Below are 24,102 nucleotides of genomic sequence, written 5' to 3' on the forward strand. Positions count from 1 at the left end.
AGCCCTTCAAATACTTTTTTTTTTTTTTTTTTGGTGATAGTCTAGCACTGTCGCCCAGGCTGGACAGTGGTGCGACCTCGGCTCACTGCAACCTCCACCTCCCAGGTTCAAGCAATTCTCCCTGCCTCAGCCTCTCAAGTAGCTGGGATTACAGGTGCCCATCACCATGCCGGGCTAATTTTTGTATTTTTTAGTAGAGACGCGGTTTCGCCACGTTGGCTAGGCTGGTCTTGAACTCCTGACCTCAGGTGATCTGCCCACCTCAGCCTCCCAAAGTGCTAGGATTACAGGCATGAGCCACCGTGCCTGGCCCCCTTCAAAGACATTTCATCAAGACCTGTAGTGATTATCCCTCTGTAAAGCTCCCTGCCTGCTTCTGACTCTCATGGTATGTACTACACTCTGAGATGTCTTATAGTCATTTGTGTATGTGTCTGATTTTTCCCAAAGATTCTTTTAATTTTTTAGAGACAGAGTCTTGCTCTGTGGCCCAGGCTGGACTGCAGTGGTATGGTCATAGCTCATTATAACCTCTAACTCCTGGGCTCAAGTGATCCTCCAGCCTCAGCAACCTGAGTAGCTGGCACTACAGGTGTACATTACCACGCCCAGCTAATTTTTTAAATTTTTTGTAGAGACAAGGTCTCACTATGTTGCCCAGGCTGATCTGGAACCCCTAGCATCAAGCAATCCTCTTGCCTTTGCCTCCCAAAGCTCTGAGATTACAGGTGTGAGCCACCGTGCCCAGACTCCCCAAAGGCTCTTGAAAACACAGACCACAACATACATCCAGCCCTCCACATCCACCGGTTCTGCATGCATGGATTCAACCAAGTATGGATCAGAAATATTTTAAAGACATAAAAATGAAAAATATCACAATTAAAAGTACCAGTAAAAAAAATAAAATATAACTATTTACAAAACATTTACAGTGCATTAGGTATTATAAGTAATCCAGAGATGATTTAAAGTATACAGGAGGATGTGCATTGGTTAAATTCAAATCCTATGTCATTTTATACATAAGGAACTTAAGCATCTGTGGATTTTGGTACCTGAGGTAAGTCCTCGGAACCACTGCCACATGGATACCAAGGGACAAGACAACTGTATTTACCTTTGGTTTTCTTTAAAGCCTAAACTCTGGAGTAAGTATTAAATAAATGCATTTGGAATGAACAGAGTGAGACTAACCAAATAGGTAAGTCATAGGGAAAGCTTTGGTAGGTTAGAATGAGTAAGGAAAACAGAACATATTAAATCTATTAAAAGACATCCATGTATAAGGTTATTCACTGCAGTACTATTTATAAAAGCAAGAAAGTAGAAATAACCTAAATGCCTATTAAGAATGGATGCCTAAACAAAGTGGGACCATTCATAATGAATACAATACAGTTGCCCAAAAAGAAAGAAAAGGGAAGAAAGAAGGAAAGGGAAAGGAAGGGAAGAGGGAAAGGAGAGGAAGGGGGACAGGAAGGAAAGGGAGGGAAGGAAGGAAGAAAAGCAAGAAAGAAAAAGACTAAAGAAGCTCCTAGTTATCTACTGATATAAAACACTACCCAAGGTAACAAAAAGATCAGCGTATGAAATAGCATGTATAGTAGTCCACCATTTATGTTTTTTTTTTTTTTTTTTTTTGAGACAAGAGTTTTGCTCTTCTTGCCCAGGCTGGAGTGCAATGGCATGATCTCGGCTCACCGCAACCTCCGCCTCCCGAGTTCAAGCGATTCTCCTGCCTCAGCCTCCCGAGTAGCTGGAATTACAGGCATGCAACCACCATGCCCGGCTAATTTTTTGTATTTTTAGTAGAGACGGAGTTTCTCTATGTTGGCCAGGCTGATCTCAAACTCCTGACCTTGGGTGATCTGCCTGCCTCAGCCTCCCAAAGTGCTGGGATTACAGACACGAGCCACCATGCCCAGCCTATGTGTTTGTTTGTTTTTTTTTAATGGGGGAAAAACATATTTACGGCTATATATGCATAAAGCAGCTCTAGAAGGATACATAAGGAACTAATAACACTGGGGGGCTGGAGAATAAGGGTGGAAGAAACTCTTCATATGTCTTTTTGTATCTTTAAAACCATGTGGATATGTTAAAATATATTGTACATATAAGAAAACTTTTTGAAAATCACTCAAAAGAACTGGACCAAAGACTAGATTTTTAAAAAATCACCAACTTCACCTACCTTTAATGGAATAGGGCTGTATCACACTAACTCCATAAAAACCTAGTTTCATAAATTTCATAAGCTTTACACTTAAACTACATAAAACTTTGCAAATTATCACTTAATGATCAGCATGGGACCACAAATCAATCCTCTAATATATGCTTTGCTTGTATTTAGTAATTTAAACATATTTTACAGCTGGGTGCAGTGGCTCACAAGGCAGGAGGATCCTTTCAGCCCAGGAGTTTCAGACCAGTGTGGGCAAGATGACAAGACCCCATCTCCACAAAAAATTGAGACCTTGTCTCAAAAAAAATTTTTTTAATTAAAAAATAAAATATTTTACCTCCTTTAGAGTCATTCTTTCCACTTCCATTTGATGGTGCTGACTCTTTATTATTGGTGGCCATATTGTCTACATCATTTTCTTCTAAAATCAAAGGATCTGGCTATTGAAAAAGAAAAATTATAAATTCTCAAACCAAGCCACTGTATAAGGTTTCATAGCAATATATGATTATACCTTTAGCTTAAGAGGGGGTAAATGTATCATCCATATCTCCTACCTCATCATCCTTTGTTGAAGACACAGCTGAGAGTAGTCGACTATTACAGAGCCGGCCATCTTGCACTGCGCTGATATCCAAGCTCATTTTGGGATTATAAGTATGTGGATAAAGAGATTCAGGAAGATGTTTACACTCTTGGGCACACTGCAATACAATGGTGTGCTTTAAGACAGGACTGACAAAATCTTAATGAATAGATGATGTTAAGTAGGATAAGGACAAGCAATACATTATACTGTAATATGGCAAAAAGTTCACAAAACTGGTTTGAAAAGTAGTTTACACTGAAAAATTTGCATCATACAAATGACAGATTGTCCTCATGTTTTAAATGTCATATCCACTGAAGTATAAAATCTGAAACCATTCCTGTGCTTTTGCAAAGGTATCAATTACCCTCCAGAGAATACCCAGGAAAAAAAAGAAACACAGATCTAAACTCTATTGATATGTTAAATTTTCCCCAAATAATTATAAACTTTCCATTCATATCACATTTTTAATTAGTACAAGGAAATGGAGAATTAGAAAGAGTATCCATTAAAGATTTGTTAAGTATTTAAGGACTAAAGATGTTAAGTTTTTGATGCCAAAGATCTGAAATGTGTACAGTTAACCAAGACTATTAAACTGGCTTCTAGTTCCATTGAGAGTGAAAACTCTTGAGTTAGTGCTCTGAAATAATGTTTGTATACATTTTCAATTAACAGAGATGGGGGGGAAAAAAGCACTGCTTACATCTAAAAGCCAGTGCTCGGAAACAATGTGTACTCCTCTTTCTTTTACAGATTTATACTCCCGATTAGTGTCATTTGGCCGCCCTTGATAGATGAAATGAGTCACTGTTTCATCAAAACTCCACCTGAAATAACCAATACAAAAAAACAAATAACCAAGAGAAACATCCTCATTAGTTTAAGATGATTCTTATTTACTGTGAACAGAATATTCTGACCTTCCCAAAACTTTCGGACTAGAGTAAACAAGACCATTAAAATGACAGGCTCAAGCCAAGTGATACATGCCTATAGTCCCAGCTACCCAGGAGGCTGAGGCAGGAGGACACTTGAGGCCAGGAGTTTGAGGCTGTAGTGTGCTATGATCACCCCTGTGAACAGACACTGCACTTCAGCCCAGGCAACACAGCAAGACCCCGCCTCAAGAAAAAAACAGTTAAAAAAATGATGATAGGCTCTATCTTTTTGGACAAATTTTATGCATATATCTGTAGGTATATAAATACAGAGAGAGGTTTAGAAGAATATCCTTTAAAATATTACTTTCTTCTTTATGCTTTTCTGAATTGTTTCAATTTTCTTTTATAAAGAATATCACTTTTACAGTAACCATAAAGGTATTTCAAATTAATAAATTGCAAAGCATCCAACTTGCCCTCCAGTTGCTGGCAGTCACTATTCATTGTATGCCCCAAAACAGACTATATATATTTTACACATCATTATCTCATCCATTCCTCACAACAATCCTAACACTGGTATTATTACATTAATCTTAAAGATAAAAGAACTAAGGGACATGGTTCAGTACCCTGTTCAAGGATACTCAATGAGTAAATGATAGAGATAACTTTGACTTCAAAAGCCATGCTCTTAACTATTATATTATGCTATGATCTCCCAATTCTTCCTATTCAATATTCTCTCTTTTTTTGAGACAGAGTCTCACTCTGTCACCCAGGCTGGAATGCAGTGGCACAATCTTGGTTCACTGCAATCTCCACCTCCCGGGTTCAAGCAATTCTCCTATCTCAGCCTCCTGAGCAGCTGGGATTATAGGCGTACGCCACCACACCCAGCTAATTTTTGTATTTCTAGTAGAGATGGGTTTTCACCATATTGGGCAGTGGTCTCGAACTCCTGACTTCAAGTGATCCACCCGCCTTGCGCTCCCAAAGTGCTGGGATTACACGCATGAGCCACCGTGCCCGGCCGCTATTCAATATTCTCTTGACCTGGGAAACATCAAGTAAAAACCAAAGGGTAGGTAAAAATTATATTTCTAAATACAATCACCAAAATAAACAGAATTTTATCCTTAGGGACACTTAATATTTTCCATTTTCTAAGTAAGGAATATCTCTGAGCTTTTTAAATAGACAAATGAATTAAGAAGCTGGGTGCAGTGGCAGTGGCTCATGCCTGTAATTCCAGTACTTTGGGAGGCCAAGGCAGGTGGATCACCTGAGGTCGGGAGTTTCAGACCAGTCGACCAACATGGAGAAACCACATCTCTTCTAAAAATACAAAATTAGCCGGGTGTGGTGGCGCATGCCTGTAATACCAGCTACTCAGGAGGCTGAGGCAGGAGAATCGCTTAAACCCAGGAGGTGGAGGTTGTGGTGAGTCGAGATTATGTCACTGCACTCCAGCCTGGGCAACAAGAGCAAAACTCCCTCTCAAAAAAAAAAAAGAATTAAGAAAAAGAAGTAAGAAGTACTATTGCCTCCTAAGTTATATTATAAAAATCTCTATTTCCTACTGACCATGTATCCTAAAACATAACAATAAAAATACACCTTGCCTAATTTGTTAGTTCTCAGAATAACTGTCTCCCTTTCTGCGTAGTGGTATATTATCAAGATAATTCAGAAAAACAGAGGAGTATTTTTGCCTGAATCAATTTGGTTTACCAGTCAACTCCACTATGACAATATGGAAACCATGAGTTTCAGTCTTCAGAGGCCATTCAAGAACAGACTGTCAGTGGTTGTAGATGGTTTACATCAGGGTTTGGCAAATTTTTTCTTAAAAGGCCAGATAGTAAATATTTTAGACTTTGCAGGCCAAACAATCTCTTTTGCAACTGCTCAACTTTTGTCTTGTATGTGAAAGCAGTCATAGGCAATTTGTAAGTGAAAAGGCATTGCTGTATTCCAATAAAACTTTACTTACAAAAACAGATGAACCAGCCCATACACCCTTGGTCTAGATCAGCGGTTTCAGCAAAAGTGTTACTTCAGGGGTTATTTTGGACATTTGTGAGGGTGATTTTGGTTGTTACAATGTGTGTTTGTATGTTGGAGGGTGCTACTAGCATGCAGTGGGTAAGGTACAGGATGCTGGAAATTCTGGGGAACAGTCATACATATAATTATGTCATATCTTGCATGATATTCTAATGTCCCGACAAATTCACGTATGTAAAAAAAAGTTGTTTATAATTAGTTGAGTCTAGAACCTGTTCGACATATAAACAAGTTATTTTTTTGCAGTTTTAATATACACTAATATTACAAAAATGTGACTACTGTATAAATTGATGGAAGACCACTGCTACTCATGGTATCTGAGTCCCCAGATCGGTCTCAGCCTTGGGACTGTTGGATTTGTGGTGCCTTTACATAGGTATACAAACGTATTAATACTCCATTGTTTTCTAGTGTAGTCAGCCTTAGGCATTATACATAACTGAACATATATCTTTTCTATATTATGCACCTTCTATTTCTCCTATGCATCACAGAGTGCTATACTGTCTGCTACTTTTTTAAATTATAAAAGTAGGTAGGTTATATTTATATTCATTTTAATAGAGGGAATGTTACACAAATATTTGTAATAAAATGAAGATGCTGCATCTGATTTGTTGCAAAGATCGGGCCTACATGTTTAACTGTCTGAAGACAGAAGACAGTATCCGATGATCTCTTTGGGACAGTCTGGTCCTAGATGATGGAAGGGAACATTTGGAACAACTTCACTTGAGAACTGCTTTACTCTATGCATATATAAATATCTAACCTCTGCATATTATAAGGCTCTTCCCTTTATCAATTACCAATCCATTTCAGGAAAAGATTTAATATAAACTTTAATGCAATGCAATGGTTAAATTCTGTTTAGGAATTTCAGTAATAAATTCTATTTTTTATACTGAGAGGACTGGCATTTAAAATCATATAAAAACATACATCCTATATGTTCCCTTGAAAGTCTTATATCATGTCTACATCAAAACAGAATAAACAAGGAAACATTCAATTTTGAGGAAAAAAAAATATACACACACCCCTTGTAGGGCTACTATGAGAATGAAACGAGATAATGCTCAGCAACTGGCAATAGGTAACATAATAGGTAATTAGATAATAACAGATAAGATTACCTAACAATTTATAATAGGTAATACAAATATACCGTAGAAGAGCTTCACTATTTCAAATGGATGTACCAAACACTAAGATGCTTATATGTATTACAGATCAATTTTACTCCTATATTTTCCTGTCCTAATTTCTTTATCAAATAGAAAACAAACTGAAATAAGAGTTACCAAAGGGGAAGATGAAACTAATCATATTCCTGCAATGGTTCATCATTTGTTAAACAAATTCTTATGATATCTATGAATGGCTGAACACAAGTTATCAACAAAGCAAGCATTACAGCTAGTGGAGGAGTACAGTCAACTCAGGACTGGCTGAAATAGGTAAGAGATTCTCAATTCTGGATACTGATGCCATTTGTGCTAGAGATCTGTTTTCAGCTTAGGCTGTCAGGTTGACTGAAGAAAAATCTGACAATCTAAGTCTCCAAAGTTTAAAAAAAAAAAAAGATAATGAAAACATGCTCAAAAAAGACTATCTTAATAAAGGAGGGCTGCCAGAGTACTTAGTACTACTCCCAGAGGGCTCTAATCTGAAAAATCACTAGTAAAAATAAACTTAATCTCAGATCCAGATGTATTACTATTAATAGACTCTAAACTCCTTGAACACAGGGATTCTTTTAGACTATACTGATCCTTCATGGATCCCAGGTTTCTAGAATAGTTAGTGGCATAAAATAGGCTCTCCAATATTTGTTGTGCATACCCTAAAAAATATACATTATATACATATAAGAGTGAATTGATATGTGAGAGGCTATTTTCAACAGATGTGGTAAATTAAAAATCAACTGGAGAGATTTTGTAGATAAAGATGCATGAAACAAAATAAATGTATTCTTGTAGATGCTCACAATAGCTTTAGGTTTCCTTATAAATTTCAGTCATATCACCATGAAACAGAAAGATGTGCCAACTACCTGTAATCTGCTCCTAGAGAGGCTGCGATCCCATTTAGTTCACTCTGCTTCTTACTGAGTTTTTTACTAACACATACCACTACTTTGTGAAGTGGCTTTGGGGCTTCTTCCTGTCCATGGAAAATAAAAGAAACAGATCAGTCATTATTGTTTGAAATGTTATCTAAAACTTCCTTTTAATAAGAGAACTAATCCTACCTTCTCTGACTGGGCCTCTTTCAGTTGAGGGCTGGCAGAAAGAGCGACAGCATTTCGAGAGCTATTTGCCAAAGCAAGTTGCAAGTTTTTGACAATAACTTCTGAGAGTGGCGTACTCGGTTTCCTTTTCTGTTGGCTGGGACGTCCTGGAGTTTCCAAGGCTGCAAGTGCATCCTATACATATGAAGGAGAGAGAGAGATGGAGAAAAGAAGAGAGAGAGAGAGAAGCAAGATGGGTTAATAGGACAGGAAAAAGAAAGAGGAGGAGAGAGGGGTAAAGAGAGAGAAGGGGGAGAATCCTCAAAATTAATGGATTACAGTTTAACTTCCTCTAGTTTTCCTCCAAATAACAAGAAAAAGAATAAACTATAATCAAATCCATATACTGTGAACAAAAATTCCATACTGTCCAGCAAATTGGTTCAAAGAGACTAACTAGCTTACATTTTCAGCAGTGCTTGTCTCTTACCTGAATCTTAGAGTTGAATTTGAAAACAAAACAAACCAAAAAAACCCAGAAGGAAACAAATAAGCAACGACGGATATAATCAAGAAATGGATTATAAGGAAGGTTAGAAAGTCAAAATGAGCTGAGAATTAAAAAAAAAAAAATCTTCAAAAGTTCAAAATATATTCCTGTTCTAAAGCCACCAACAGTTCCCTCCTGAAAGGAAGCTACTGTTGTCCAAATGGCTTGCTCATTCTCTTTTGCATGTGTATAGTATTCCATGTATGTATCAGAATGTATTTAACCTGTGTACAACTGATAAGCTTTCGGTTAACAGTCTTTTGCAAGTATAATGATGCAATGAATAACCTTGTACACAAACCATTTTGCACACACAAGAGTAAAGGAAACCTTTTAAGCAAAATGTATCTACCAGCCCAGTGCAGTGGCTCCTGTCAGTAATCTCAGCTACTCCAGAGAAGTTGAAGCAAGAAGACAGCTCAAGACCAGGAGTTTTGAGACGAGTCTGGGAAACACAGTTAGACCCAATTTCTTTTTAAAAAAACTAAAAAAACAAGACCAACATGTATCTACCAATGTTGACATTTTCATGAGCAAAGTATGAGTGTGTGTGTTTTCCAAACGTGCTTGATATCACAGTAATCAGATTTTTCTTTTTTGACAATCTGATAAGACTAAAAAATTTTATCTGTATGCTTTAATTTTCTACTCTTTTATACTGAATGAGGTTAAATATCTTTATATGTGTGTGTGTGTGTATATATATATATATTTTTGAGACGGAGTCTCGCTCTGTCACCCAGGCTGGAGTACAATGGCGCGATCTCGGCTCACTGCAACCTCTGCCTCCTGGGTTCAAGCGATTCTCCTGCCTCAGCCTCCCGAGTAGCTGGGACTACAGGCATGCACCACCATGCCTGGCTAATTTTTCGTATTTTTAGTAGAGACAGGGTTTCACCATGTTGCTCAAGCTGATCTCAAACTCCTGACCTCATCATCCAACCGCCTTTGACTCCCAAAGTGCTGGGATAACAGGCGTGAGCCACCGCGCCTGGCTATATGTATATTTATATCTAATTTTTTGTGATAACTATCTGCTCCTATCCTTTGCCCATTTTTCTACTGGGTTGTTAGTCTTTTTTTTAATATATTCGCTTGTATGAATATACTTTTATATTCATTTGTATGAATTTATATGTGCATGTATCAACTGTGATATAATACCCACGTATTTATTTTCAATTTATCATTTGTCAAATTTTTGCCATGGAGCTTTTTTTTTTTTTCAGAGATGGAGTCCTGCTTTGTCACCCAAGCTGGAGTACAGTGGCATGATTATAGGTCACTGTAACTTCTAACTCCTGGATTCAAGGATCCTCTCACCTCAGCCTCCCAGGTAGCTGGGACTCCAGATGCACAACCCTGTGCTCAGCTAATTTTAAAATTTTTCATAGAGACAGGGTCTTGCCGTCTTTCCCAGGCTGGTCTCAAACTCCTAGGCTCAAGCAATCCTCTCGCCTTGGCCTCCCAAAGTGCTGGGATTACAGGTGTGAGTCACGGTGACTCGCTGTAATTTTTTTGTTTTTTGAGACGGGGTCTTGCTCTCTTGCCCAGAACGGACTGAAGTGGCTCAATCTTAGTTCACTGCAACCTCTGCCTCCAGGGCTCAAGCAATCCTCCCTTGTCAGCTGGGACTATAGGTATGTGCCATCACACCCAGTTAGAGAATTTTTAATGCTGTCAAATTCATACGAATCTTCTATTTCTTTTGGAGTGTATGTTATAGTTAGGCCTTCCCCACACTAGGATTATTTTAGAAACAAATTCATGACATGTTTGGGAATTTTTATGGCTTCATTTCTTATGTTTAAATCTGATCATCTAGGCTGGGTGTGGTTGTTCACGCTTGTAATTCCAACACTTTGGGAGGCCAAGGCAGAACTGCCTGAGCCCAGGAGTTCTAGACCAGCCTGAGCAACATGGTGAGACTCTACCTCTCCAAAAAATACAATTAGCTGGGCACAGTGTCATGTACCTCTAGTCTGAGTTACTCCAGAGGCTGAGGTGGGAGGACTGCTTGAGCCCAGGAGGTCAAAGCTGCAGTGAGCCACGATGATGCCACTGAACTCCAGCCTAAGTGATAAAGTGAGATCCTATTTCAAGAAAAACCCCAAAAGTTGATCATCTAAAAAGTATTCTGATGTAAAGTGTGAGCTTTAATTACAAACGTATTTTCAGATGGCTACCTAATTGTCCAATTTGAATGCCACCTTTATTACATAATAAATTCCCCTATTTGTGGAGTATAATCTTATACACTAACTTGATTATTCACGTGACACCACACTGTTTTAACTACTGCAACTTTATAGGAGGTTTTAATAAACGGTAGGGCTACTGCCTACCTGCAATTATACTTTTCAGATTTTTTTTAATATTGTTTCTGCTTGCATTTTTTTCTAGGACCTACATTACCTTTTGATATGGTTTGGATTTGTGTCCCCACTCAAATCTCATGTTGAACTGTAATCCCCAATGATGGAGGAGGAGCCTGGTGGCAGTTGACTGGATTATGGGGGCGGATTTCCCCCTTGCTGTTCTTGTGATAATGAGTGAGTTCTCATGATATCTGGTTTGAGATGGAGTCTCACTCTGTTGCCCGGGCTGTGGCGCGACCTTGGTGCAATGCAATCTCTGCCTCCTGGTTCAAGTGATTCTCTTGCCTCAGTCTCTCGAGTAGCTGGGATTACAGGCATATGCCATCACACCCGGCTCATTTTTATATTTTTAGTAGAGATGGGGTTTCGCCATATTGGCCAGGCTGGTCTTGAACTCCTGACCTCAGGTGATCCACCCACCTTGGCCTCCCAAAGTGCTGGGATTACAGGCGTGAGCCACTGCGCCTGGCTGATATCCAGTTGTTTAAAAGTGTGTGGCATCTCCCCCCGCTATCTTTTCCTCCTTCTCCAGCCATGAAAGACGTGCTCACTTCCCCTTCATTTTCGACCGTGATTGTAATTTTCCTGAGGCCTCCCCAGTGGTGCTTCCTGTACAGCCTGTGGAACTGAGTCAATTAAACCTCTTTTCTTTATAAAGTTGGACGTGGTGGCTCGCGCCTGTAATCCCAGCATTTTGGGAGGCTGAGGTGGGTGGATCACTTGAGGTCAGGAGTTTGAGACCAGCCTGCCCAACACAGTGAAACCCCGTCTCTACTGAAAATACAAAAATTAGCCGGGTGTGGGGGTAGGCGCCTGTAATCCCAGTTACTTGGGAAGCTGAGGCAGCAGAATTGCTTGAACCCAGGAGGCGGAGGTTGCAGTGAGCCGAGATCATGCCACCGCACTTCAGCCTGGGTGACAAGAGCAAGACTCCATCTCAAAATAAAAAAATAAAAATAAGAATAAATTACTCGGTCTGGGGTAGTTCTTTATAGCAATGTGCAAACAGATTAATACACCTTTATAGATCTTGACAATGTTTAAATCTATTTTGCAAGAACATGGTAAGTCTTTCTATATGCTAAACTTTTTAAAATTTCTTCAAAGCATTTTAGAGGATTCCTTATATAAAAATCAGAAGCTCCCATACCACATCTATCTGCCTTCAGCACACGTGCCACTAGTACCTTCCTCTACTTAAGAAGTAGATCCCAATGCCTCTCAGACTCAAGCCTCCTGCAAGTCTTCCTTCTCTCATCTGCATCATCAATTGGCTCTCTAATGGCAGTTACACTGGCATATAGTTATTTCTTCTTCTTTTTTTGAGACAGGGTCTCAGTTTGTCACCCAGGCTGGAGTACAGCGGCATGATCACTGCCCACTGCGTCCTCTATCTCCTGGACTCAAGCAATCCTCCTGCCTCCGCCTACCAACTAGCTGGGGCTACAGACGTGCACCACCACACCCAGCTAATTTTTGTGTATTTTGTAGAGACAGGGTCTTGCCATGTTGCCCAGATTTGTCTTGAAATCCTGGACTCAAGTGATCCTCCCGTCTTGGGCTCCCAAAGTGCTGGGATTATGGGCATGCACCACTGAGCCTGGCTATTTCTTCCACCTTAAAAAGAAAACAACCTTCTTTTGACCCTACTTTGCCCCATAACTACAACTCCATTTCTTGGCTCCCCTTTATGGCAAGATTCCTTCAAAAATCGTTGTTTACACTCAATGTCTCCGATTCTTCTCATTTCTTTATGAACCCACACCAGCTTCCACCTCCATCATGCCACCAAAACCCTTATTGTTATGATGACGCCATTGACCTTCATAATGCTCAATCCACTGGCCAATTTTCTATTCTCACCTTTCTTTATCTTAGAGCAGTCCTGGACATAGTTAACCCCTCCTCCCTCTTTGAAATACTTGGCTCTTTGAAATAAGCTCTAGGCTTTCCTCTTCTCTTATAGCTCCTTCTCAGTCTCCTTTGCTGGTTCCTCCTCTAAAGGTGAGCACCTCAAGGTGTTGCTTAGAGCTCTTTTCTTTGGCTGGACGTGGTGGCTCACACCTATAACCCCAACACTTTGGGAGGCCAAGGCAGGAGGATTGCTCAAGTCCAGGAATTTAAGGCCAGTCTGAGCAATGTGGTAAGATCCCCGTATCTACAAAAAAATTAAAAATTAGCCAGGTGTGGTGACATGCACCTGAAGTCCTAGTTGCTTTGAAGGCAGAGGTGGAAGTATTGCTTGAGTCCAGAGGTCAAGGCTATAATGGGCTGTGATCATGCCACTACACTCCAGCCTGGACGACACAGCGAGACCTTGTCTTAAACACAACAAAACAAAACAAAACCTTTTTCCTTTCTTTGCCTTCTCCTACTCTCTTGGCATCTATTCTCACATGGCTTTACACATTACCTACAAACTCAGAACCCCAAATTTTTATCTCCAGCCCAAACCATTCCTCAAACTTCCAGCGTTATTTGCAACTGCCTATTTAACAACTACTTGGATATCTAATAGGCATCTCAAACTTAATGTGTCTAACATGTGAACTCTAGATCTTTAGGCTCCAATCCCAACCTGTTCTGTTCAACTCAGTTTGGACTGGCAACTCCATTCTTCTCATCTCTCAGACCAAAAATTTGAAAAGAATCAAATTTTAAAACCTACCATGTATTGTGGAAAACTGATTTCAAATGATTGAGAATTCTTAACATCTAGACATCCTCGTGAAACTATTTGAGTTCAAAGATAAAAGAAAAGGCCAGGTGTTGTGGCTCATGCCTGTAATCCCAGCACTTTCAGAGGCCAAGGCAGGCAGATCACTTGATATCAGGAGTTCAAGGTCAGCCTGGCCAACATGGCAAAACCCCATCTCTACTAAAAATACAAAAATTAGCCGGGCATGGTGGCGCATGCCTGTAATCCCAGCTACTCGGGAGGCTGAGGCAGGAGAATCGCTTGAACCTAGGAGGCAGAGGTTGCAGTGAGCTGAGATTGTGCCACTGCACTCTAGCCTGGGTCCTGGGTGACAGAGCGAGACTCTGTCTTAAAAAAAAAAGATAAAAGATAAAAGAAAAATCCACATGACCTCCAGGCAAAAAGATGAAATAACTTCCAAAGACAAGTAATTTAATTAGATTGGCATCAGATTTTTTTTCAAAAACAACACATACAAAGCAAGGCAGTAGTGGAAGAGCATTTTCAGGAAACTCAAGAAAAAAAACTGCAAGCTAAGAATAGTACATCCAAACAATTTGTAGAAGAAGCAAGGCCACAGTAAAAGTTATGAACATGCAGAACTCAAGGAATACTGTACACGTGTGTACACACAGATTCCTGAGGAACCTACTAGAAAATGAACTTCATCCTACCAAAAGTGACAGGTAAGCTTCAAAAAGAAGAGTACACATTTCATATATTCGATTGTAGAGTTAAGACCAAAACGAGGGTGGGGTCTGTGGGTTGAAAAAATATATTTTCCCTCCTGACAAAGTAAAAAAATATGCAATGAAAAATAGAAGAGAGAAAAGGGGGAAAGAGAATAAGATCTTCTATACAGGCAATTAGTGGGAGTCAAAAATATAATTTAAAACTGACAAATAATAAAGAATACTATTTAAGTAAGAAGAGGTATGCATCATCATGCCCAGCTAATTTTTCCAACTTTTTGTAGATGTGGGGTCTCACCATGTTGCCCAGGCTGGTGTCCAACTCCTTGCCTCAAGTGATCCACCTCAGCCTCAATGTGCTGGGATAACAGGCATGAGCCACTATGTCCAGCCATCCTTGTACTTATTTCTTTTTGAGACAGGGTCTTGCTCTGTCACTCAGGCTGGAGTGCAGTGGTAGGATGATAGCTCACTGCAGCCTCAAACTCCTGGGCTCAAGCCATCTTGCTGCCTCACCCTCCTGAGTTCTAGGACTATAGGTGCACTCCACCAAGCCCAGCTAATTAAAAAAAAAATTTGTTAGAGATGGCGGTCTCGCTATATTGCCTAGACTGGTCCAGAACTCCTGGTCTCAAGTGAGGCTCCCACCTCAGCCTCCCAAAATGCTGGGATTACAGGTGTGAGCCACCACGCCCAGCCCCTTGTACCACTTTTATTTTGCAACTTTTTGTAAGTTAGAAATTATTTTGAAGTAAAAAGTGAAATAAAACAACTTATAATAGCAAGTATCAGCAAAGATGAGGAACACTGGGTACACTCAACACACTACTGGTGGAAGCATGAACTGGTATAATCACTTTGGCAAAAAATTTGTCATTCTCTACTGAAGCTGAAATATAACCCAACAATTTCACTTCCAGGTATATACCACATAGTAACACACACACATAGACTCCAAGAGACACGCACAAGAATGTTCACAGTAAAATTATTTTGTAAGGGCAAAAAACTAGTAACCAACTAAATGCCCATCAACAGTACACTGGAAATGTAAATTCTGTATATCCATACAAAGGAATAAATAAATGAACTATATTTGCATGCAGCAAAACAGACAAATCTAAATAAGGGTTAAAGAACAATAAAAAAAAAACAGACTCAAAAGAATACATACTATGATTCCACATATTTAAAAGTCAAAAACAAGCATAACAAAACTATAGTTATTAGAAGTCAGGAGTATACTTTAGGGAGGAAGCAGCGATGGAGCCACAAGGAAGGGTTTACAGTACTGACCATGGTCTCTATCTGAACGTGTATAGTGGCTTCTCAATGATTAACCCTGATAGTTCATTAGCAGTATATTTATTGTACTGCTCTGATGTATATTAATTAAAAATTAAGTTTAAATAAGTGGTGAGTTTTTTTGAGGGGGGCAAGGGTGAGGCCTAATAGATGGTCAATTTTGTGATTATTCCATGGGCCCTTTCATGTTTTAAGTAAAGAATTCAACATACCATATTATATCAGTTTGAAGATGATAAGATTATCATCTGATTATAAGATTATAGATGAAGCATTATAATGCTTATAAGATTATAAGATGAAGCATTATTTATGTGCCATCAAAAAAGAAAGAAAAAAGAGGAAAAACACTGCTCAATAAACTATGACTCTAAACAATAAAATCTTTAATGTGTTTTTTGTATTGAGGCTATTCAGAACTATCAGCTTTCCACTGCAAAACTTTTATTGCAATGTATCTATATAAGAATGGTCTCAATGACTGAAAATATCTCTACTATTTTCTTGCCCACCAATATTATTACATTTGCTCTTCAGAGAGTCTGTGAGCTATGACACTTTAGAGATCATCTGGATTTTATAGATGAGAATAATGAAGCCGAAAGAGGTTGACTTGCTTTTAAAAGGCAGTAGGAGGCAAAGAAGAGGCTTGATCCTACACCTCACAGTTCTCAAGACTGATTTTCCTCTATGTCTTAAGGGATATGGACCTGAGTATTAATCACAGTACAAAATGTTACCTCAGAAGAGATTTCATGTGAAAACTTAGAATTTTGAGTTTAATAGTAAAGACACACTTTTTTTAATGTGCGTCACTGGAATTCTGACCAAAAATAAAGGCATAAATTAGCTTGGGGAAAACTGTCCTGGATATCAATTAATATTTATTTTCTGAATATGAATAATCTATAAACTTTTTAGTAAGTCCACTCCAAAACACAATAAAAATTATTAAAATATTGCTTCTAAATACCCTACAAGCAAAAATATCAACACGTGAATGAGTAAAATAATTCTTCAAAGGTTCGTGGATAAAGAAATCATAGACAGTGGGTTTGAACAGCCACTTAAGAGGTCAAAAGCTACTAAAGAAATAATGATGAAAATCAGTTTTGGAAAATCAAAGAAAATTATTTGGAAGATTACATTAGCCCCTGATTTACAAATGCATTTTTCAGAAAGGGAGCCATACTACAATGCTCACGAGATCAAACTAAAACACAGACTTAACTCATGTCTTTACAGGAAACAATTCAAGTAAGGTGATATACACACATTTTCAGAAGGCAAATCCCGGGTGTACTCTGAGAACCAATATATAAAGTATCAGTGTGTTTACATTTTATAGTTTATAAAGTGATTTCATCATTTGATCTTTATAATCTATGAATTTTCAGAGCAAATATTATCTTCTTTGTATGAAAAAACAAACTGAAGCTCAGATATGTTAAATGATTGGCCTAGTCATACAGTTCAAGATCGATCCAGTACTTGAACCCAGATGTCCTAATTTCACACCATATTTATCTATAGCTGTTACCTTAACCCTAAATGTATGCTGGGACTCAAAACGTTCAAACTCAGTAACATAAATCTACTTGCCAATGTCTCTGGAAAATTTATTACTACACTTCAGAGGTGATGCCAAATTTGGTGCTTTAACTTTATAAACGGTAAAACTGTTAACTCTGGGACCACTGCCTATAAACCTTACCTTCACATCAAAGGAAGGCTTGAAGAGTTTGTCCTTGGACAGGAATTTTGATGGTGTATCCAGGTGTAACGAGGGCTCCTTCTGAAGTGGTTGTCCTACTGCTGGGGAGGCTGCGACCTGTCTGGCATGTTGTGAGACCACAGCACGGAAAGCTTTACTCTGAAAGCGGTTCATATCTAAAGGTGTAACGACGGTTTTTCTGTGAGTTTGCAGGCGTGTGCCAGGATGCTCTGCAGTATCTGAATTTAGATTGATTCCATTTGTTATTTCTGTTTCCAAACTTCGTTCTAGAGATTTAAAATGAAAAGAAACAAATATGAGCCACTAATGCCCACTTTTTCCCGGTACACAAGAAGTAATATTTTATACTGTTTTCTTTCCTTTCTTTCTTGCATAACTCCTGGGCTCAAGAGATCCATCTACCTCGGCATCCTAATCTGTTAGTTTTCATGTCAATTCTCAGGTACACTTTAAATCACAAAATTATATACCTACTTTCCAAGAAACAAACCAGATTATGCATTAAATATATGTTGAGTTAGACAAGCACATTAACTGAAAAAATAATAATAGATTTCCTGTTTCATCTTGCTATGTCTCAATAAGCCTATTTGCCAAAAATTGTTATCAGTGAATGTCTTTCTAGTCAATGACAGAGTAAAAAGAAAAATCTCAATTACAGGTACTCAGAGTTAACTACAGTCTAGTTTTGGAAAGTCCTTAATCAAATTTTAATATGACCTGAACATCACTTAGCCTCAGTCATAAAATTACCAGTCTGTCTGGCAAAATAAGTAATGACTCTGAGAGGTATTCCCAAGCTGCTGATATGTCCCTGAAGTTTGCCCATGGATGCTATTATCTTACAAGAGAGGGTACTGTATTCTTCCACCTATGCCTTCCACCTTTTTTCAACATTTAACAAAAAACCTTATTAGATAGCTACTCCATGCCAGGCCTAGTGTTAGACATGGGAAATACAGAATTCACAAGACATGCATGTTCACTGCCTTTCTGGAACTTTAAATTTAGCAGGAAGACACAAAATAAACAACCATTATAACACTGAGGTAAGAGATAAAAGGGATGATACAGAGTGTCATGGTGAAACAAAAAACATTATACCAAGACAAAGGCCATCCTTGGTGAGTCAAGAATGCTTCCCAAGACAGTGTGGCGATTCCTCAAAGATCTAGAACTAGAAATACCATTTGACCCAGCGATCCCATTACTGGGTATATACCCAAAGGATTACAAATCATGCTACTATAAAGACACATGTACACATATGTTTATTGCAGCACTATTCACAATAGCAAAGACTTGGAACCAACCCAAATGTCTATCAATGATAGACTGGATTAAGAAAATGTGGCACATATACACCATGGAATACTATGCAGCCAGAAAAAAGGATGAATTCATGTCCTTTGTCGGGACATGGATGAAGCTGGAAACCATCATTCTGAGGAAACTATCACAAGGACAGAAAACCAAACACCGCATGTTCTCACTCATAGATGGGAATTGAACAGACACAGGGCAGGGAACATCACACACCGGGGCCTGTCGTAGGATGGGGGGATGGGGGAGGGATAGTATTAGGAGAAATACCTAATGTAAATGACGAATTAATGGGTGCAGCAAACCAACATGACACATGTATACATATGTAACAAACCCGCATATTGTGCACATGTACCCCAGAACTTAAAGTGTAATAATAATTAAAAAGAAAAAATGAAAGGCTTCCCAGGGAAAGTGGTATCTTAGCTGAGAACTGAAAGATAAGCAGGAAGAGCAGGCAACTGTGAGGTGGTCTACAGGAAACATGCAGAAGCCCAAAGATAAGAGGAGAGATAGCATGTTAATTATATAGTGTGTTACTATGAGCCATAGAAAGAATCAACAGTAAATAGGAGCCAAGCTTACATCTGTAGACTTCGAACACTGAGACCCTCACTGCACCCAATGTGAAAAGCAAAAATCAATGACCCTTCCTAAACACAAGCATTGGCACATTTATATCCCAGAAACCATCTAGTTGTAAATATATATAAAAGAACAGAATAAAAGTATTAACCTTCTTTAGTTGAATTTTCAATCAGAAAATGGCTTTCGTCTGCTCTCTTTCCCGTTCTAGCAGTCTCCAACAGCCAAGCTATAGTAACGGCAGGTAAATTCCACTTCTTTGCAGCTTCATATTTAGAGCCACCACGTTCTTTCAGTATAAGATGAGTACTGGCAAACATGCCTTTCTTTGCATTGGATTTGCGAACAAAGTATTCTTGAACACTGAAATTTATGTTTAAAGAAGTGGAAATGGTCACATATACAATTAACCCGCAAAACTAACAAAATTTCCAACACAACAGTGTGGTTAGAGATCATGTAAGTATAAAAAAAAATACTGATTAAAAGTTGGTTTACTCTATCTGAAATTAAGCTAATCCCCTTACAAATGCTTACTCTAGGGTAAAAATGTATTGCTGTAACAAACTTTTTATAAAAACATAATTAGACATGCAAAGAACAGACAGCAAAAATCCTTTTGAGACAGGGTCTTGCTATGTTGTCCAGACTGGAGTGCAGTGGCACAATCACAGCTCACTGCAACCTCCGCCTCCCAGGCTCAAGCCATCCTCCCACCTCAGCCTCCCCAGTACCTAAGACTACAGGTGTACACCACCACACCTGGCTAATTTTTGTATTTTTTGTAGAGATGGGGTTTCACAATGTTGCCTAGCCTGGTCTCGAACTCCTGAGCTCAAGTGATCCTCCTGCCTCAGCCTCCTAAAGTTGGGATTACAGGCGTGAACCACCTCACACAGCCAAAATTACCTCCTTAATTAGTTATCACCCCCACACCTTGTCCTTTCCTCCCAAAAGAAGGCACAGAAAAAATGACAGGAGCAAAGTGTATAAATAACATTATTATTATTTTTTAACCTACTACAACTTTCCAAAGCATTTCTACATATTATCTCATTTGATCCTCTCAATATTTAAGTATAGACATGGGAAAAAATACAGAGAAATTAAGTGCCTCAAGATCATAGGATATTAAACACAGAGAATACGGGGCAGAAAAAGAAGTCTACGACTTGAGATTGAACAGAATTCCGTGATTTCTTTTATGACTTCTGGGTTTTATGTTCTAGTTCCCAACTTTTCAGATTTTTAAATTTCCCATGTTTCCTAGCACTTTTTTTTTCTATGTTTTGTGTTTATCTTAGTACTTTTATAATTTCATTTTTTACATTTAACCCACCAATCCATTCAGTACTTATTTAGATATGAGATACTGCTCCAACTTTAATGAATCCTATTTATTGAATAAGCCATGTCTTCCTTATATATATTTGAAATGTCACTTGTATCGTAAATTCCTTTTTACATTTGGGTCTCCTGCTACATTTGCTGTCCATTAATTAAACTTTCTGCTACACGTAACCACACTGTTATTTAGTGAAGTTTCACAAAATATATATTTGTTTGTTTGTTTTCTGAGACAGGGTCTTGCTCTGTCCTCCAGGCTAGAGTACAGTGGCGCCACTGTGACTCACTGCAGCCTTGACCTCCCAGGCTCAAACAATCCTCCCACCTCAGCCTCCCAAATAACTGAGACTACAGATTTATGCTACATTGCCTGGCTCATTTTTAAAATTTTTTGTAAAGACAGGGTCTCAGTATATTGTCCAGGCTGGTGTTGAACTTGGCCTCCTGCCACGGCCTCTCAAAGTGCTAGGATTACAGGCATGAACCACCAGACCTGGCCACAAAATATATTTTAATAACTGTTAGGGCTAGTCCCAATTATTCTATTTCAGAATTTGCATGACTTTCCTGCTGAGTACAGCTTTAGCTGTATCCAGTGGAGTCTGTCATCATGTATGTTATTATCTTCCACAATTTCAGTTTTAAAAGAATTTTATTATTTCATATAATTCAAACAGAAAACAGCAAAAAAAGAAATATACAGCTATACGAATTATTATAAGGTGAAACCCTTAAGTCCACCACCCAGGTCAGAAGACAGAATCTTGCTAACTACCCCAGAACCTCTCCAACATGCCATATAAACCCCCTTCCCTCCCTTCTTAATAGTAGCCACTATTTGGGCTTTTTTTTGGAGACAGGATCTCATTTTGTTGCCCTGGCTGGAGTATAGTTGTGTGATCATAGCTCACTGCAGCCCTGGTCTCCTGGGCTCAAGTAATCCTCCTGCCTTAGCCTCCCGAGTAGCTGGGACCATAGGCACATGCCACCATGCCTGGCTCATTTTTTTTTATTATTTTTTAAATAGAGACGAGGTCTCACTATGTTGTACAGGCTGGTCTTGAACTCCTGAGCTCAAGCAATCTTTTAGCCTCCCGAGTGCTGGGATTACAGGTGTGAGCCACTGTGCTTGGCCTATTTGGATACTTATAGTAATCACTTCTTTACTTTTCTATAATCAAATAATGGCAACTTTAAAGACTACATTTAGGCTTTTGCTTTTTCAAGTCTTTTAGCTTATAGGTTCCTACCTTCTTTTCCATGCCCTTAATATATATTCATTGAAGACACTGGATCATTTATGCCAGAGTTGTACTAAAGTCTGGGTCTTGCTGATTATATCACTGTAGTATAGTTTAACGTGTTATTCTGCTGTTTGCATTTCCTATAAATTGGGAATTGGATCTAGAAGCATCATCAGATTGAGGTTTGATTATTTTGGCAAGACTACTTCAAAGTGGTGGTGTATTCTTTGTAAGAAGGCACATCATGTCTTGTCCCTTTATTGTGTGATCGACTATTGATGTTCAATGCCTAGATTCTTTCATTCATTAGGGGTTACAGTCTTATCATTCCTTATTTATTTATTTGTTTGTTGAAACATCTTTATAAAGGGAAACTTTGTCGTATCCACTATCATGTTACCCTGATGCAAACTGCACAGGAAATGCAAGGTAATTCCTTGATCCTTTCCTTTTGTCAGCTTTCAAAGTAATGGACTGGTTCTCTAGCATCTTTCAAAGATGACCAATTACCTTACTTTATTTGGTGTCATTATGAAGTCACAACTTAAACACTATTTCATGTGTTTGGACCCACTGCAGTTATTACCTCTAATGATACCTAAGTTTTCATCTTTGGACAACAGAGGCACTTTTTTTTTTTAAGGCTAGTCAAGTGAAGCAGTGGGAGTGGAGAAGGAACCACATAACACTCATAAATATAATAAAGACACCCAACCAAATTCTAATTTGAATGCTCTCCAAGAAGTCAAAATAAATAAAAAGATACACCAATACAACAGGTGCATTAAAAATATTACATACCTTGCTCCAAGGAGGTTTGCTAGGAATGTTAAAGACTCTTTTTCTGCTCCAGCACACTGGCTAAATGAAATAACACAATCCTCTAAAGGAGTCATTCCTGTCATTACTGGAACTGGTGTGAAGAGAGGATTCGACTTTGGATCAAACAAAGTCTGATAGTCTATGCAAGTAACCTTTTAAAAACAAAAGAAATAGTAAAGCCAACCTGAAATAAGCAACCAGTGGTTAACACTGGTTCAGGTACAGAAGCAATAATTTAGTTTTGATAAGAAGAAATTTTACTTTAATACAAACTTGTGTATGCTCATTCTCAATACATTTCATATCATAATGTTAGAGTATATATATACATACACACATATACATACATCGACTAATTACATTAGGCTATTAAAATCGGTAAGATCTATTATTAGAGTTACTGAATGTTGCTTTAAATTTCATTCCTTCTAATGTATTAGTTTATACTATTTTTCTCATAATTCTTGGAATGTTAAAAAAAAAAAAATCAACAGTGAAATTACCAGTGATGCTTTGGTTATGAGAAAACAAGACAAATAGTATGAGATGACCCTAGAGTGACCTCCTAAGAAGGAATGTTGCTGCTGTGGCCCTGGGAAACAGTAATCTCTACTGTATCGGGATTAGGCCAAGAAGCTTGCACATTTAATTTTGAATTTCCCTTGCTAAAAGCAAAATCAAGAGTGTTCAAGTCCAAGCATTGATTTACTGTAACTGAACTGTCTAAGAAATAAACATTAACCTTCTTGGCATTCAGATATCCTTCGATACTTTATTTCAACCACTAGTGTTGTCTTACCAGCCATGTATTTGTAACAACTTCTCCCACAGTGGCTTCCACTTCACACCCCAGCAGAGGAACCACAGCATAATCCGCAACAGTTCTGCTCAGAAGGGACATGATTTTCCCAGCATTTTCTTTTATGATGTTTGCGATGTTAGATTCATTTTCATTACTAAAACCCAAAACAAGGAAACTCTTTTGGCTAAATAAGCCTTCTTCAGTAATTGTAGAAACATCAGGGACACAATGACTGACAGAAGACTGGTTTTCTTCTTGCAAAGAAATGTGAGTAGAATCATTCAAGGGCTCAGCATGAGTAGAATCATTAAAGGGCCTGGCTTCAGACGTCTTAGCCTCAACTGAAAGAGAAAAGTAAATGTTTTCTAACCAACAATTTACCTTATACAGTTTACTTCCTAGCAAGGATATTAACGTAACATGGAATCTGATAATTTTGACCATACTTACAAAACTAAAGCTTACGTGTATAATAAAGGGATATGGATTCACCCCGTCTTCGGGGTTACCAAGAGTCCTTATCAGTATTACCATCATCCATTGGGAAGGACAAGAGCAATCATGTTAGTTCTAGGTATTCCTAGTATAATGGAAACTTGAATTAGTTTAAAATTATATAGCTCCAACAGGACTTAGTTCCAA

The 24,102-nt window shown here is 38.5% G+C and overlaps 1 protein-coding gene across 8 annotated transcripts in view, besides 1 other annotated feature; it reads right to left on the minus strand.

Moving 5' to 3' along the window:
* Positions 1–24,102, minus strand: part of TOPBP1 (DNA topoisomerase II binding protein 1) — a 61,704-nt gene that overhangs the window by 20,325 nt on the left and 17,277 nt on the right. For all 8 annotated transcript variants that reach the window (XM_047447355.1, XM_017005636.3, NM_001363889.2 and 5 more), the window contains exons 11-19: positions 23,458–23,801; positions 22,638–22,810; positions 19,397–19,608; positions 17,314–17,600; positions 7,998–8,171; positions 7,800–7,909; positions 3,490–3,613; positions 2,749–2,895; positions 2,529–2,631 (exon numbers count right to left, since the gene is read on the minus strand). In XM_047447355.1, coding sequence (XP_047303311.1) covers positions 2,529–2,631; positions 2,749–2,895; positions 3,490–3,613; positions 7,800–7,909; positions 7,998–8,171; positions 17,314–17,600; positions 19,397–19,608; positions 22,638–22,810; positions 23,458–23,801 — 1,674 coding nt within the window. The remainder of the gene's footprint in view (positions 1–2,528; positions 2,632–2,748; positions 2,896–3,489; positions 3,614–7,799; positions 7,910–7,997; positions 8,172–17,313; positions 17,601–19,396; positions 19,609–22,637; positions 22,811–23,457; positions 23,802–24,102) is intronic.
* Positions 22–111: an enhancer, noted in NCBI's record as "active region_20553". NCBI's record gives its function as "activates an Ori minimal core promoter by ATAC-STARR-seq in GM12878 lymphoblastoid cells {active_cell/tissue: GM12878}" and the evidence as "EXISTENCE:reporter gene assay evidence [ECO:0000049][PMID:35858748]".

Source organism: Homo sapiens, chromosome 3, assembly GCF_000001405.40.
Source record: "Homo sapiens chromosome 3, GRCh38.p14 Primary Assembly".
Classification (NCBI taxonomy): domain Eukaryota; kingdom Metazoa; phylum Chordata; class Mammalia; order Primates; family Hominidae; genus Homo; species Homo sapiens.